Source organism: Homo sapiens, chromosome 8 (genome assembly GCF_000001405.40).
Source record: "Homo sapiens chromosome 8, GRCh38.p14 Primary Assembly".
NCBI lineage: Eukaryota > Metazoa > Chordata > Mammalia > Primates > Hominidae > Homo > Homo sapiens.
The window spans coordinates 134,502,542-134,516,132 of record NC_000008.11 but is presented as its reverse complement, the minus strand read 5'-3'; the positions used below and the strand labels follow the sequence as shown (position 1 = coordinate 134,516,132).

Below are 13,591 nucleotides of genomic sequence, written 5' to 3'. Positions count from 1 at the left end.
GTCTTCAACAAATAAACTACAAGGGGAGAAAAGCCAGAAATGGAGGGAGAGCATATGGATTTTAAGTCTTATGAGACATATTAATCAGTTCTAATGTGTGAACCTCATTTAGATTTGATTTGAACAAACCTAAAAAGTGAGGTAATTGGGGAAATTTAAACATTGTCTAGACCATTGATGATGTTAAGGATTTATTGTAAAGTTTTTGAGTGTGACAGGAGCATTGTAGTTCTTTTTTGGATGAGTTTTATTTTTTAGAGAGACAGTATGAAATATTTATGGGGCAAATAATGATTTCAGGATTTGCTTCAGAATAATCCTGGGGCAGGGCATGGAGTACATGGAAACATAGTCCAAGAAAGTCTGGCCATGATTCAACCTACAGAATGGGAGAAAATTTTTGCAATCTATCCATCTGACAAAGGGCTAATATCCAGAATCTACAAGGAACTTAAACAAATTTACAAGAAAAAAACAACCCCATCAAAAAGTGGGCAAAGAATATGAACAGATACTTCTCAAAAGAAGACATTTATGCAGCCAACAAACATATGAAAAAAAGCTCATCATCACTGGCCATCAGAGAAATGCAAATCAAAACCACAATGAGATACCATCTCACGCCAGTTAGAATGGTGATCATTAAAAAGTCAGGAAACAACAGATGGTGGAGAGGATGTGGAGAAATAGGAATGCTTTTACACTGTTGGTGGGAATGTAAATTAGTTTGCCCGTCGTGGAAGACGGTGTGGTGATTCCTCAAGGATCTAGAACCAGAAATACCATTTGACCCAGCAATCCCATTACTGGGCATATACCCAAAGGATTATAAATCATTCTACTATAAGGACACATGCACACACGTATGTTTATTGCAGCACTATTCACAATAGCAAAGACTTGGAACCAACCCAAATGCCCATCAATGATAGACTGCATAAAGAAAATTCAGTACACATACACCATGGAATACTATGCAGCCATAAAAAAGATGAGTTCATGTCCTTTGCAGGCACATGGATGAAGCTGAAAACCATCATTCTCAGCAAACTAACACAGGAACAGAAAACCAAACACTACATGTTCTCACTCATAAATGGGAGTTGAACAATGAGAACACATGGACACAGGGAGGGGAACGTCACACACCAGGGCCTGTTGGGGGTGGAGGGCTAGGGGAGGGATAGCATTAGGAGAAATACCTAATGTAGATGACGAGTTGATGGGTGCAGCAAACCACCATGGCACGTGTATACTTATGTAACAAACCTGCATGTTCTGCACATGTACCCCAGAACTTAGAGTATAATTAAAAAAGGAAAGACTTGCCATGATTGATAATTGCTGAAGTTGGTTAATGGACACATGGAGGTTTATTAGACCCGTCTCTCTGCTCTTGTGTATTGAAAATTTTTTTATAAACATTCTTTTAAAAAGTAAGAGTTTTGGAGTCTGACAGACTTAACTTTGAATCCTCTGTCACCTATAAACTGCTTGCCCTTGAGCCATTTTTTAACCCTCATGGCTCAGTGTTCTGCTCTGTACAGTAGGCTGATAATCCCTGAGAGCTCAGAAGCACTGAGAGAAACCATTTGTAAAATGCTGAGGCCTGAATGAGCCCCTGGAGGCCCTCAAAAATGGCAGCTGCTATGATTATTGCGGATGTTGATGATGATCACTTTTACATCTTCATCTATGCAAAAACAATTAGTCACCTAGTGTTTCAAGTATTAGTACATACTGGAAGAATTTACTCTTCATTAACAAAATAGACACTCGAGTGTCAATTACTGATGTAAAACTCAATCTATCTTGTCAGTCGGTGCTTTTATAAAAGCATGCAGTAAAGCCTCGCTTCCAGCTGATGCTAGCACTTTATGCAGAGCCGTGAACCCAACAGAAATAGTTGACATAAGACTGGGTAGTTGACTCCATACTCATCTCCATGAGATGGTGAACAGCCAGGAAGCTGCCATGAAGTGGTCACCAGTGGAGTAACAAGCCACCTCTTCCAGCAATGTGTGTGTCACCTGGCTCCCAGGAATGCCTTGCAACGAGTACCAGCCTTCCTGACAGCAACTATGACATGCTTTCCCCAGAATGAGGAGGAACCTTTCAGGTTGCATCCTGTCCTTTCACGGGCTCAGGCATTGCCTGGATCTACTGTCGGCTAATCTGTTGCCTCATGGTACTGAGAACAAAATGTTCTTCTTTTTGTTCATTTATGCATTCATTGAATATTTTTTGGGTGACTACTATATGTCAGGATGGAAACACCTAAATGGACTTGGCCAGTTGGCTGTGAAGGAATATTATATGCTATTCTGAACCTCTATGTCATTTACTGATATATGCTTATAGAGCATAACTTGGCACCTGTAGATTTTGTCTGAAGTCCTTCTTTTTGTTCTTCTTGATTGGTGACATTCATGCATCCAGCCTTACAGTTTTGCTTGCACTCTCTGCCCCTTCCAGAAAGAGATAATTATTAACATCTAGTTCTGTAAAAATTCTGTTCCACCTCTTCTCTCTTTGAGGCACGAGGTACCTGTGAATGCCACTTTAACTCCTCCTACCCTCGCAAGTCCTGATTTTGTGCAAATATATTTCTTGTAGTCAGTTTTATTTCTTACACTTTCATGTTCGAATAAGAATGGCACAGCCGAGCGTGGTGGCTCACACCTGTAATCCCAACACTTTGGGAGGCTCAGGAGATCGAGACCATCCTGGCCAACATGGTGAAACTAAAAATACTAAAAATACAAAAATTAGCTAGGTGTGGTGGTGCGTGCCTGTAATCCCAGGCACTCGGGAGGCTGAGGCAGGAGAATCGCTTGAACCTGGCGGGCAGAGATTGCAGTGAGCTGAGATCGCGCCACCGCGCTCCAGCCTGGGTGACAGAGCGAGACTCTGTCTCAAAAAAAAAAAAAAAAAAGCACAAATAGCTAAGATTTTCTGAACTCTTACTCTGCTGGGACCTGGGACCTGTGCTCTCCACGTGCTGTGTAATCACAGGTCCTCTCCCTTCCACCATCAGCTGCCCTGTGGCTGTGCCCCTTCCTCTGTGTAATCACCCACCCTACCCCTTCCACCGTCAGCTGCCCCATGGCTGTGCCCCTTCCTCTGTTGGCCACATGGCACCCAGTCCCCAGGGTAAGGCACAGATTAGAAGTGATGTTGGTAGCAGTGGGAGGAAACAGAGGAGCCGTTAGAATCTAAGTGTATGCAAGAATATCTGAACTGGTCAAATCTCTAATTGTGAACAGCATACATACTCTGTTTCCCACCACAAAAATGTACAGCAGGGGCTTTTTACCAAAGCTAGTTTTTAAAGGTCTTGATCCTCACAGAGAAATTTTCTCTTTGAGAAGTGTATGGGAGCAACTGGTTTCTCAGGGGTGCCAGGTAAATGAGATGTTGCAATGTATTGCTTTCTTATATGCGTTTGTTCTATCTTAGTATGTTATCTTGGAACTTCTGGGCAACAGTCAATCTTTTAGGAGATGACTTAGGTACTATGTTTTTATTTAGACAGCAACAGAAGCTCCTGAGGAGCCCTCCACCCAGTATCTCCACATCACAGAGGCCGAAGAAGACGTTCAAGGGACACAGGCAGCGGTGGCCGCGCTCCAGGACCTGAGATACACCTCTGAGAGTGGTGAGGACGCCTGGTCTTCCTTTGCCATCTCAGAACTGTCTTTCCTAGACATGCTGAATGAATGCGTTTGCAGATGAATGATGTCCATCAGGTGATCTACTTCCGAATCCCTGACCCAGCGTTCAGACTGCAGAAGCAGCCCCATTGCCAGCCCCCAGAGATCTCTGCCTCCAGAAATGCTCTAGAACAGAGCCAAAGCAGAGGGAAAGCCTTCGAACAGGGCCGCAAGAGTCCCTCACATCTCTTACCACATTTAATTCTCTGAACCGCCTTGTGAGGGGAGGAGATCTGACTATTCTCACTTCACAGATGCAGAAGGTTGCTTTTCATTGTTAATGGTTGGCTAATGGTTAATGGTTGTTAGTGGTTGACTGAGGGTCACCCACTTTAGGGTGTTGGAGCTCATCCTGGAATCTGGGTCTCCTAACTTCTTGTCACGGCATCATCCCATTCCATGCTTCCTCAGGGACATCTCCTCCAGGGCCTACAGGGGCCAGGCAGGCAGTGACAGGAGGTGGTGTGGGCTCAGTGGGTGGTAGAGAGTAGCAGAGACTCTGGCGTGCAGGGGGTCACTTTGCAGACCTGAAAGACCAGGATCGCTCATTCTCCAAGTCCTTCCCAAAAGGCCCAGTCAGGATTTTTACATCAAATGTCATGATTTTCAAATGTTAAATCAGTTCTAAAAAAAACAAGCCACTGTACCAGCCTAGTGGCAGTTGGGGCATTATGCTTAGAAAACAGTTTTTCTTGATGCTCTTTTTAAAAGATGAACAGAACACAAGTTAATGTTTCATACCACAGCCCTGTACATATCTGGAGGGCAGAGGTCAAGCAGGTTGGGTTAAAAGGGAAGCATTAGGTGAAATGAAACGGTGATAGGAAATAGGAGTTAGAAAGACACCATTTTTACCCAGTTCCTAAAACCCCAAACTCCAGATTGTAAGAAAGCTGCACAGAAAACTCCTGTGGGCCAGTTGGTTTAGGGAAGATTAATGGACAGGGCTGTGTTCACTGCCTGCTGAGCTGCAGGGAATTCAGGAGGCAGTGCCTCCACTTCTGCAGACGGGAGAGTCGAGGCCCAGCTGTTAAATGTGGCTCTCAGCACTGAGGTTCTGTCAGAACTTGAGTTTCCTTCCATGATGTCCAGTGACATCAGTGATTGCTCATGGCCTACAAGATGCAGCCTGTCTGTCTTCATCCCCTATGAGCACACACACACCCCCCACACACACTCTCACTCTCAGACTCACTCACTCTCTCACTCCTTCTAAGGCCCTCCGATGTCTCTTCCTAGCTCTTAACTTTGCAGCTGAAAAGGCCAGGCTCAGCTTCTCTGGCTCCTGCCTGGCCTTGTCACTGTCTCTTGCCACCCCATTCCTGGGCTGTGCTTCCCTCTGCCAGATTTGCAGCTCTCAGAAGGGACACACGCTCCAGTGCTCCCTGGGGTATGGCCTGGTTTCTTCTCCCTCACAGCCTTTTTCTGCCAAACTCATCCTCATCTTCAGTACTCAGACTGCAGGTCACCTCCTGAGAACCCCGTCCCTTTTCTGCACTGTTTCCTAATTGCACTCCTGACATGGGAGCTGCCAGGTGCTGTAAGGATTTGCTTACAGTCTGGCTTAGGAGGTTGTGAGCCCTGGGAGGAGTCGGGGGGTGAGGGGGAAGGGGTAGGGCTTTGTCTTTATTCTTAGCAGGAGCAATAATGCTAGGGCTTGATAAAGGGTCATTAAGGGAGTCCATGGATGCGGAATTAGAACCTCGCCTCAGTAAGTTGCACAGGTAAATGTTTTCGTCCTTGCATGTTCGGAGTGGTTGGCTGCAAGGTACATTTGCACCATTTCCCTTAAGGGGCATGTGTTTGGGGGTGCCGGCGATGCATTGTGAATATAAGTCCGCCACTGCCTCAGCCACTGGCTTGTCCTACCTTCTGCATGAGACACGTTGAGTTCCCCTTCTCTGATCTCTTATTGATTGACTCGCATTGGAACACGGCCCACAGAAAGCTGCCCATGAGGATGAAAATGTTGGCAGAGACTGCATAATATCATGCTGAGGTGGAGATCAAGCAGTCATTTCTCTTTTAGTAAATTAGTGATCAGGGTCAGGGTGTGCTCAGGACGGTTGCAGATGGCCTGGCAGATGGTGGGAGCAGGCGGGGATACTAAATAGCTGCCTGATGATGCAGAATCCCGTCTTTAGAGATGGTTAAAATAGAACCCCCAGCTTCAATTGGTTTGGAGTTCCAAAGCCTACTCGTTGAATAATTGATACATCTTTGGATGTTTTGCCCATAACTTGTGGAATTTCTTGGCACACACTTTCATTGAGTCTGCGGCTGAACGGGCTTGCTGGGTGCTCCCAGGAGTTCAGCTTCGAGGGCAGCCACATGTCCGCATGTTAGGACTCAGAGCACGTGGGTTCAAGTTCTGGCTTTGTGGTGTAACTGACTCAGTGGCCCAAATGAGGCTTCTACAAAATGCAAATAACGTCTCAATGTCCCATCCTCACAGGGTTGCTTGGGGTTTTGAGATGTTCTTATAGAAAATGCTTTGTAAGCTATAAAGCACTATACAGATTATTTCTGTTGTCAAACTGAGCGATTACGGAGAGCCCATGCATCCTCTGGAGAAGGCGTCACCCGAGAGAACAGACAGGCTGGTTTTGCATTCCATGTCCTTCAGCACCAGTGGCCTGAATGGTGTCCTCTTTGCTTCTTCCTCTTAAGGCGACCGACTGGACCCCACGGCCGTGAACATCCTGCAGCAGATCATTGAGCTGGGCGCCGAGACCCATGACGCCACTGCCCTTGCCTCGGTGGTTGCCATGGCACCAGGGACGGTGACTGTGGTTAAGCAGGTAGGGACCCTCCTTCTGTAACTATTCATCTCTGTGTGTCTCACAGTCAGGTTCTCTCCTTCTCCCTGTGTTTCTAAGTCTTTAACTTACCTGAGGTAGAACTTGGAATGAAATTGGTCTAGTCTCATACCTTTTCTTATTCTACCTCTGATCTCATGGGAGTGCTTCTTCAATAGCTCTATATGTGGGAGGTGTTTGGGGGAGAGATATAGTATATTAAAAAAAAAAATTCTGGAAACTCTCCATTCATTTTCTTTCAAAGAGTCCCAGAGTGAAAATGAGCATGATGTGGACCATTGAGACACATCTCTGATGAAAACAGCTCTCAGTGCCTAAGGCGCCATTAGTAAATTGAGCTAGTAGGATGCATGGGGGTAGCCGGAGAAGCCAGGAGGATTTCCCAGTGGACTGGCCTTCCTAAATAGTAACCACCCGATCAGATCAACACAGGATACTGCTCTGGTAGGAAGAGATGATCAGTTTTGGAATAAAGGTTACTCCACTTAATTAATCCTTTATCTGCTTGGCTCATTTCCTTTTCTGCCCTCAGTGGAGACTTCACCATCTGTTAAAATGCAATGTGTTTGATAATTAGGTCATCCTTTTTATCTGTTTATACCTGTGTCTCTATCTGCTACCTCCTGTTTCATTTTACAAAAGATTTTAGCTGGCTTACACAAATACTTTAAAAAACAGAAAACCAAAATAGGAAATGCATCAAAACCAGGGAAATATATAATCTGAAATCAAAGTTCAAGTTCACAGAGAAAGAAGAAATGCAAACCATGGAGTTTCTGACATTTAGCCAGTCCTGTATTGATTCATTTGGTATTTATTGAGTGCTTACTGTTGTCAGGCAGAGTTCCAGTTGCTGGGATCTAGGAGAGAACCAGTGTCTGCCATCATGGTGGTTATTTTCCAGTGGGGAAAAGGATAAAGCTCGAATAAACCAGTATGACATAAAGGATGTCAGATGGTGAACAAGTGCCAGGAGAAAAGTAAAGCAAGGGAAGTGGGAGAGGAGTGGGGTCCAGGAGTGTGGGTTGGGGTGATTTTGTAAAGGGTTGTTGGGGAAGATCTCTGACATCCGAGGAGAGACCTGGAAGAGGTGTGTATTACTAGAGTTGTCTGAAATTGACTAAATTTGTTACTGAATTGTGTAACAGAAAACAAAAAGGAGACGTTAAACAGTTAACTCAGGAAGGGGGTTAGCTTTTCTTGGCACTAACAAATAAGATATTTCTTAATGAGGCACTCACATAAGGACGCCTGAGTGATGTGTGCCTGGTGACCTCATGAGCCAGGAGGGGACATCCCAGCGCTGTCTCCACAACTGTCCCCTGAGTGTGCCCAGGGCACAATGCAAAGCATGAAATTCAGGCCAAGTAGTTCTCTGGGGGAATTAGTAAGTACATTCAGGTTCACCTCTTGGGTTTCTTGACCTACGGACAAGACTTAGCATATCTAGATGAATGTTTGGATCACATGTCCTAAAATCCCTCCTCCACAGTGTGATTTCTCTCAGGAGTCGAGCTGGAGAGTAGGCAGGGGGATGCTTCAGTCTGTAGCAACCTGGTATCTGCGTTGGCTGAGAAAAGATTCATACACTTCCAGGCTAAGTACCTTTTTAGCTTTTCTTGGTGTTTACTAGATTGCAGTCTTCAGATTGTCTTATAAATATCTTCTGAAACTCCTCATTTGCATCTTGACATGTGGAGTCCCCAGCTGGACCTGGTACTTTAGGAAGGGTCTCTCTGGGATGGTATCAGGAGGACTTTGAATGTTTCATACACGCAAAATCCTTTTGAGAGTGCAGGAAGGTGCTTCTGGTTGTGACTTGTGTCTTGTTTCTGAGAACTAGATTGATTTGCTGCTGCTGGGAGACATGATTTATTGAGCCTCGCAGGCAATGCAGTGATACACGAGGTCACAGGGGTTGGGTTATAGCTTAGATATGCTTTGAGGCATCAGACTGACAGCACCACAAGGGATGAGGCAGATAAGCATCCAGAACGACCAGTGTCGACAAGCTAAATGTGTTTGCGGGAGGAGAAAACAGTGCCGCCCTTCTGAGGATCTTCTTTCTTATTGCAAACACAGCAAAGAGTGGTGCTGTTGAACACAGTCGTGGGGAACTGCATTTGGAAATGTTCCCCAAGAAGGTGTATGTCCTGGCCATTATCTTGTCTGCCTGGCCCCGCACCTCGCTCACGGTGGCTGTTGATAAATGACAGAGAGGAGAGTGGGTGGACAGACTGATGGGCGGGTAGACGCTGAGCACCACTCCTATAGCAAAGGAAATGAAGTGTTTCAGGCTCTCCCAGGTGAAAGGATGCCCTCTGAATTCCATTGTCGTATAGTTTAAATTGAAATATAGCAGTATTTATTAGAAAAATTGGTTTCAACCTTTTTCTTTTAATTAAACTCTGGTTTAGGATTTTTTCAGTCAAGAAATTATATCTGCTTAATAACTGTGCTGAAGCAATGAAATGTGAACTCTGTTGCACCAGTTGGAAAGAGGAAAGCTTTTCCTCCTGTGGGAGGGACCTTGATGTCAGGGGCTTTCTCTTGCTCAAACCCAAGACATCACACATAGTAGTTGCTTAAAAAATGTTATGAAATAGAATTGACTATGTTGGAGGTTTTGATTCTTCAATTGTATCCTACAAATCAGTATTGCCGGAGAGAAAAAAGCAAGAATTCCTCATCATAAAGTATGTGATGTATATCGCAGAACAATGTTTCAGATTACTATGGGATAGCATCTTTTGAGATCTTTTTGGATCTCTTTTATATACATCTTCCACAAGACCAAAAACAAAACAAATTCTACATTGTACATAAGTTGCTTCTGGATGGTTAAACATTTCAAAATTTATTTCTCATAAACAAATAGATATATACTCTATTTACAATTTTTCATGACTTGTTAATGTTAATTGAAAAGAATCTTATATATCAAAATTCATCAATAATCACTGAAAGGGATTAATCCCAAGTCTTCTGGGGTTTTCAGCTTCTGGGATGAAAGTAATGGCAGGCCTGGTACGGGGCTGGCAGTGTTGGAGAGAAGAGAGCTGGGAAAAAACTGTTTGCTTCTTGGTCTTTAAAGAGACAAGGAAAAGATTTTGCCCATAATTGAGACCATTTAAATTCTTTGTTGGACACAGAAATCTGTCCTCAACGACTTCTTGTCACTTTCCCTCTTTTCTTGAGTGTTGGCATTAAAAATAGATTCATGGGGCCCGAGCATCTCCCAACGCTCAGAAAGAATCATGCTTGCGTGCCCCACTCCAGCCTGGCAGAAGGGCCCAGATGAGAACCTGAGTGCAACTAAATGTGTGTTTGTTAAACCTGACAGTTTTCATTAAATAAGGTGATTACTTTTGTTAGTGTTGTTAAATCTTGCGTTAAGGTTTTATGAGGAGGAAATTTGTATTTGATAAATAGAACTGCCTAAGAAGGTAAATGGAAGACAGCTAGCCGCACAGGAAATGCTATCATGAGCATCTCTGAGTCAAAATTAGTTATTTAAAGGAAAAGAAAAACCAAAGAAAATAACAGCAATAGTCATCACCAGTGGCTCATGGCTTAAATCACTGATGGATGTTCTTATGATTAAATTTTATTTTAGACTCAAAGTAACATTGTATGTATGGTTGACGGGCACTCATTTAGCAGGCATTTACTGAGCAACCACTCTGTGTTCAGTCTCTGGTTGTGTTAATTTCCTATTGCCACTGCCACAAATTACCACAAATTTATGGTTTAAAACAACACAAACTGATACTGTCTTACAATTCTGGAGGTCAGAAGTCTGCAGTGCTTCCTGTGCTAAACTCAAGGTGTCGAGAGAGCTACAGTGTTTCTGGGAAAGATTCCTTTCTTGCCTTTTTGGGCATCTAGAGGCCACCTGCACTCCTTGACCCGAGGCTCCCTTCCTCCATCCCCAGAGCCAGCAACGGCAGGCTAAGGTCTGACATCCACTCACTCTGACCTCTGTTTCCAGGGGCAAATTGCGATTGCCAGCCTTCCTACTCCCTTTTTAAAGGGCCCTTCTGATGACATTGGACCCACCCAGATAATCCAGGACTGTCCACCTGGGATGGCTTCTCTGTCACCAGCTCCTTAATGTGATCACATTTACACATTCTTCTTTGCTATATAAGGCAACATATTCACAGGCCTCAAAGATGAGGACATGGACAGCTTTGGTTGAGGGGTGCGGGCATTACTGTGCCCACCACACTGGGCTACAGAATTAAGATTGTTCCTGCTCTCAAGAGGCAAATAGTCTAACAAGGGAAATGACTTATTTTTTCATGCAACAAATATACCTTGAGCTGCTTTTACCAGCCAGTCACTGTTCTCAGCACTTGGGATATTTCAGTGAACATATCAGGTGAATGATATGGTCGAGAAGCTTACGTTTTAATTGGGGTAGATAGCCAATCCATATACATGTAATAAGTAAATTATAATAGTACGTTAGAGGCAAAAAGTACACTGGAAAAAAGAACAATCAGAACTGGTCAAGAGGTATGGAAAATGCAGCCTTAAACAGGCAGTTCCGATCGAGAGTGATGAATGCTTCAGGGAGGTGGCCCAGGGACCCAGGAGTGCTGTGGGGAGCACCAGGGGCCCGTGTACCTGGGTCTGGGGTGGGGGCAGGTGCTGAGCAGGGAGGCCTTGTGAGTGTAGGGTGGGAGCAGGGCTCCAGGCAGGAGTGGGTACAGGAGCTGGTGGCTGGCGCCAGCTGGGTGACTGGAGGCAGAGGTAGGGGTGGTGGAAGAGGGCCTGCATAGAGTAATGACTTGCCTGGTTGTAACATGGGCCAAGGATTCCAAGTCTCGGAAGTATCTCAGCCTGGTCTCTCCCTTCCGCCCTTCTGCCCACTTGGAGTCCAAGCAGTTTATAGCCTTATGGCATGTCCTAGGGCATAATGTCCTTTGGCCATGGGCTTCCTGACCTATGTTACCCTCTTGAAGTCATGTTGGCGTTTTTAACAAATGACAATTTCTTGGTTCTTGCAAATAGTGAACCTGCACTGAGCATTCCTGCCCCTTGATATTTAGCAGAACAATCAGTGCCTGTCTAAGACTGTCACTGACATTTGTCTTGGCCTCTTGTTCCTGGGTTCACCGAGCCAGCTACTGCACCGTGCCCTTTCTTCTTTCCCTGGGGGTGTTTTAAGTAATAAGTACACCTTATGATGACACAGCATCTTCTTTTTAAGAAGGTCAGGATGATTGAACAGTTTGCCTTTATGATAATCTTCGGTCTTTCTGAGTTTTGTGTTAATTTTGTATTGTTTTTACTGCTGAGGGTTTGCCCTAAACAGCAGACTGGGGGTGCTAGGGCATTGTGGGGTGTCAGCCTCTGAGGTGGGGGAGGGAGTTGGGCTCCCAGTGAAGTGGTGTGGGTCATTCGTTCATTGTACAAGTTACTTTTCAGTCCATGTGCACATACGAATGGCCAGGACACTCCCCTGTGTACAAGAGCTTACCTGATGCAGTCTTGTCCAAGTGAGGCTGTCCAGCAGCATGCACTTTACCAAGCCTGCTTCTCTGTGACTCGGCCACCATTCCTGCTTTACTGAGACCTGATAAGAAATACGTTGTGTTTGTCAGAGTTTCTTAGAGAAACAGAACTCATAGGGGTGTGTGTGTGTTCGTGTGCGTGTGCGTGTGTGTGTGTGTGTGTTTGTGTTCAAAAGAAGGAATTGGCTGATGTGACTGTGGAGGTTGACAAATCCCAATGTCTGCTGTCAGCAAGCTGGGGTCCCAGGAGAGCCAATGGTGTGACTCCAATTTGAAGGCTGGCAGGCTTAGGACACAGGAAGGGCCAGTGTTTCAGCTTGAGATCAAAGGCAGGAAAAACCAGTGTCCTGGCTTGAAGGCTGTTGGGAGGAAGAATTCCCTCCTTTTCAAAAGGGGAGGGTCACCTTTTTAATTCTATTTAGGCCATCAGCTGATTGGATGGGCCCCACCCACACTAGGGAGGGCCATTTGCTTTATTCAGTCTGCCAGTTTAAATGTTAATCTCATCCAAAAACACCATCACAGCCATACCTAGAATAATGTATGACCGAATATCTGGGCACCCATGGCCCAGTCAAGTTGACATATAAAATGAACTATTACACATGTACAAATATGTTTCAGGGTATGAGTGTCTGTTTTGTCAGTGAAAAACTGTTATTTGCTTCAAGGGTGAAATTCTCAGTTTCACAGAGACAATTTTGGTGGACAGATTTCATGGTGATTTAGTAGCTTCCAGAAAACACATCCATTGGCAGATCCGTATTTCTATCACAGCTGAGATTTTGGTTCAAGATTCAGGAATCAGCTCTATCCTGTGTATCCTTGAGAGAGTGACAGCTGAGGACTGTGCCAGCATGGCACACTAACCCCCAGGAGTCCTCCATGGAGCACCAGCACTCCACTCAATCCTCCTGGCCATGAGTAAGCAAACCATTGTTGCCACTGCCCCCATGGGAGTAGATGTCTAGTAGGAACTAGTGTTAGCAGCACTCTACGTGGCAGGCCTTTGTCTCTGTCCACATCAGGCATTTCCCCTGCAGCCCAGGAGTTGGCTGCCCTGGCTTATGAGCCTGGGGTGGGGATGGGGTGTCACACACACTGCCTGCCAGTTTTAGTGCCTCCTGGGGTTGCCCCTCTCTTTTGTTGGTTGTTTTCCTGCAATGTGCTAGATGCTTCCACACTGTGTGCTGGGGCCTCAGTGGGAAGGAGCAATTTGGACTGCCTCAGACCCATGGGCACCCACCTCTTCCCCATGAAGGCCCTTAGCCGGGCACAGCACAGAATTATTCTGCCTTAATCTTGTTCAAAATCCCAAGTGCTCCTCTGACATGCTTTAACCACTGATCAAAACGAAACAAACAGAAAACCAAGCAGGAACTCCAGCTTTGCCCAAATCACCCCACCTTCTTCTCCCAACTGCTTCTACACAACCTTTGCCACCTTCAGCCTTCAAGTGGGTCCCCGTGATGGTTGGCAGTGTTGGGAGAAGAGCAGGCAGAGCCCCCACCCTGGGCTCAGCATACAGCGTGAAGCC

The 13,591-nt window shown here is 45.3% G+C and overlaps 1 protein-coding gene across 12 annotated transcripts in view; it reads left to right on the top strand.

The window, feature by feature from the left end:
• ZFAT (zinc finger and AT-hook domain containing) overlaps window positions 1-13,591 on the top strand; it is a 354,552-nt gene that overhangs the window by 316,207 nt on the left and 24,754 nt on the right. For 10 of the 12 annotated variants that reach the window (NR_110323.2, XM_047422062.1, NM_001174157.2 and 7 more), the window contains 2 exons: window positions 3,532-3,658; window positions 6,384-6,514. The exons of 1 other annotated variant lie outside the window; for it this stretch is intronic. Coding sequence is in view for 10 of the 11 variants with exons in the window: in XM_047422062.1 (XP_047278018.1) it covers window positions 3,532-3,658; window positions 6,384-6,514 (258 nt within the window). In the remaining variant the exon portion in view is untranslated. The remainder of the gene's footprint in view (window positions 1-3,531; window positions 3,659-6,383; window positions 6,515-13,591) is intronic. One more of the 12 variants, XM_011517206.2, reaches the window with a different exon arrangement.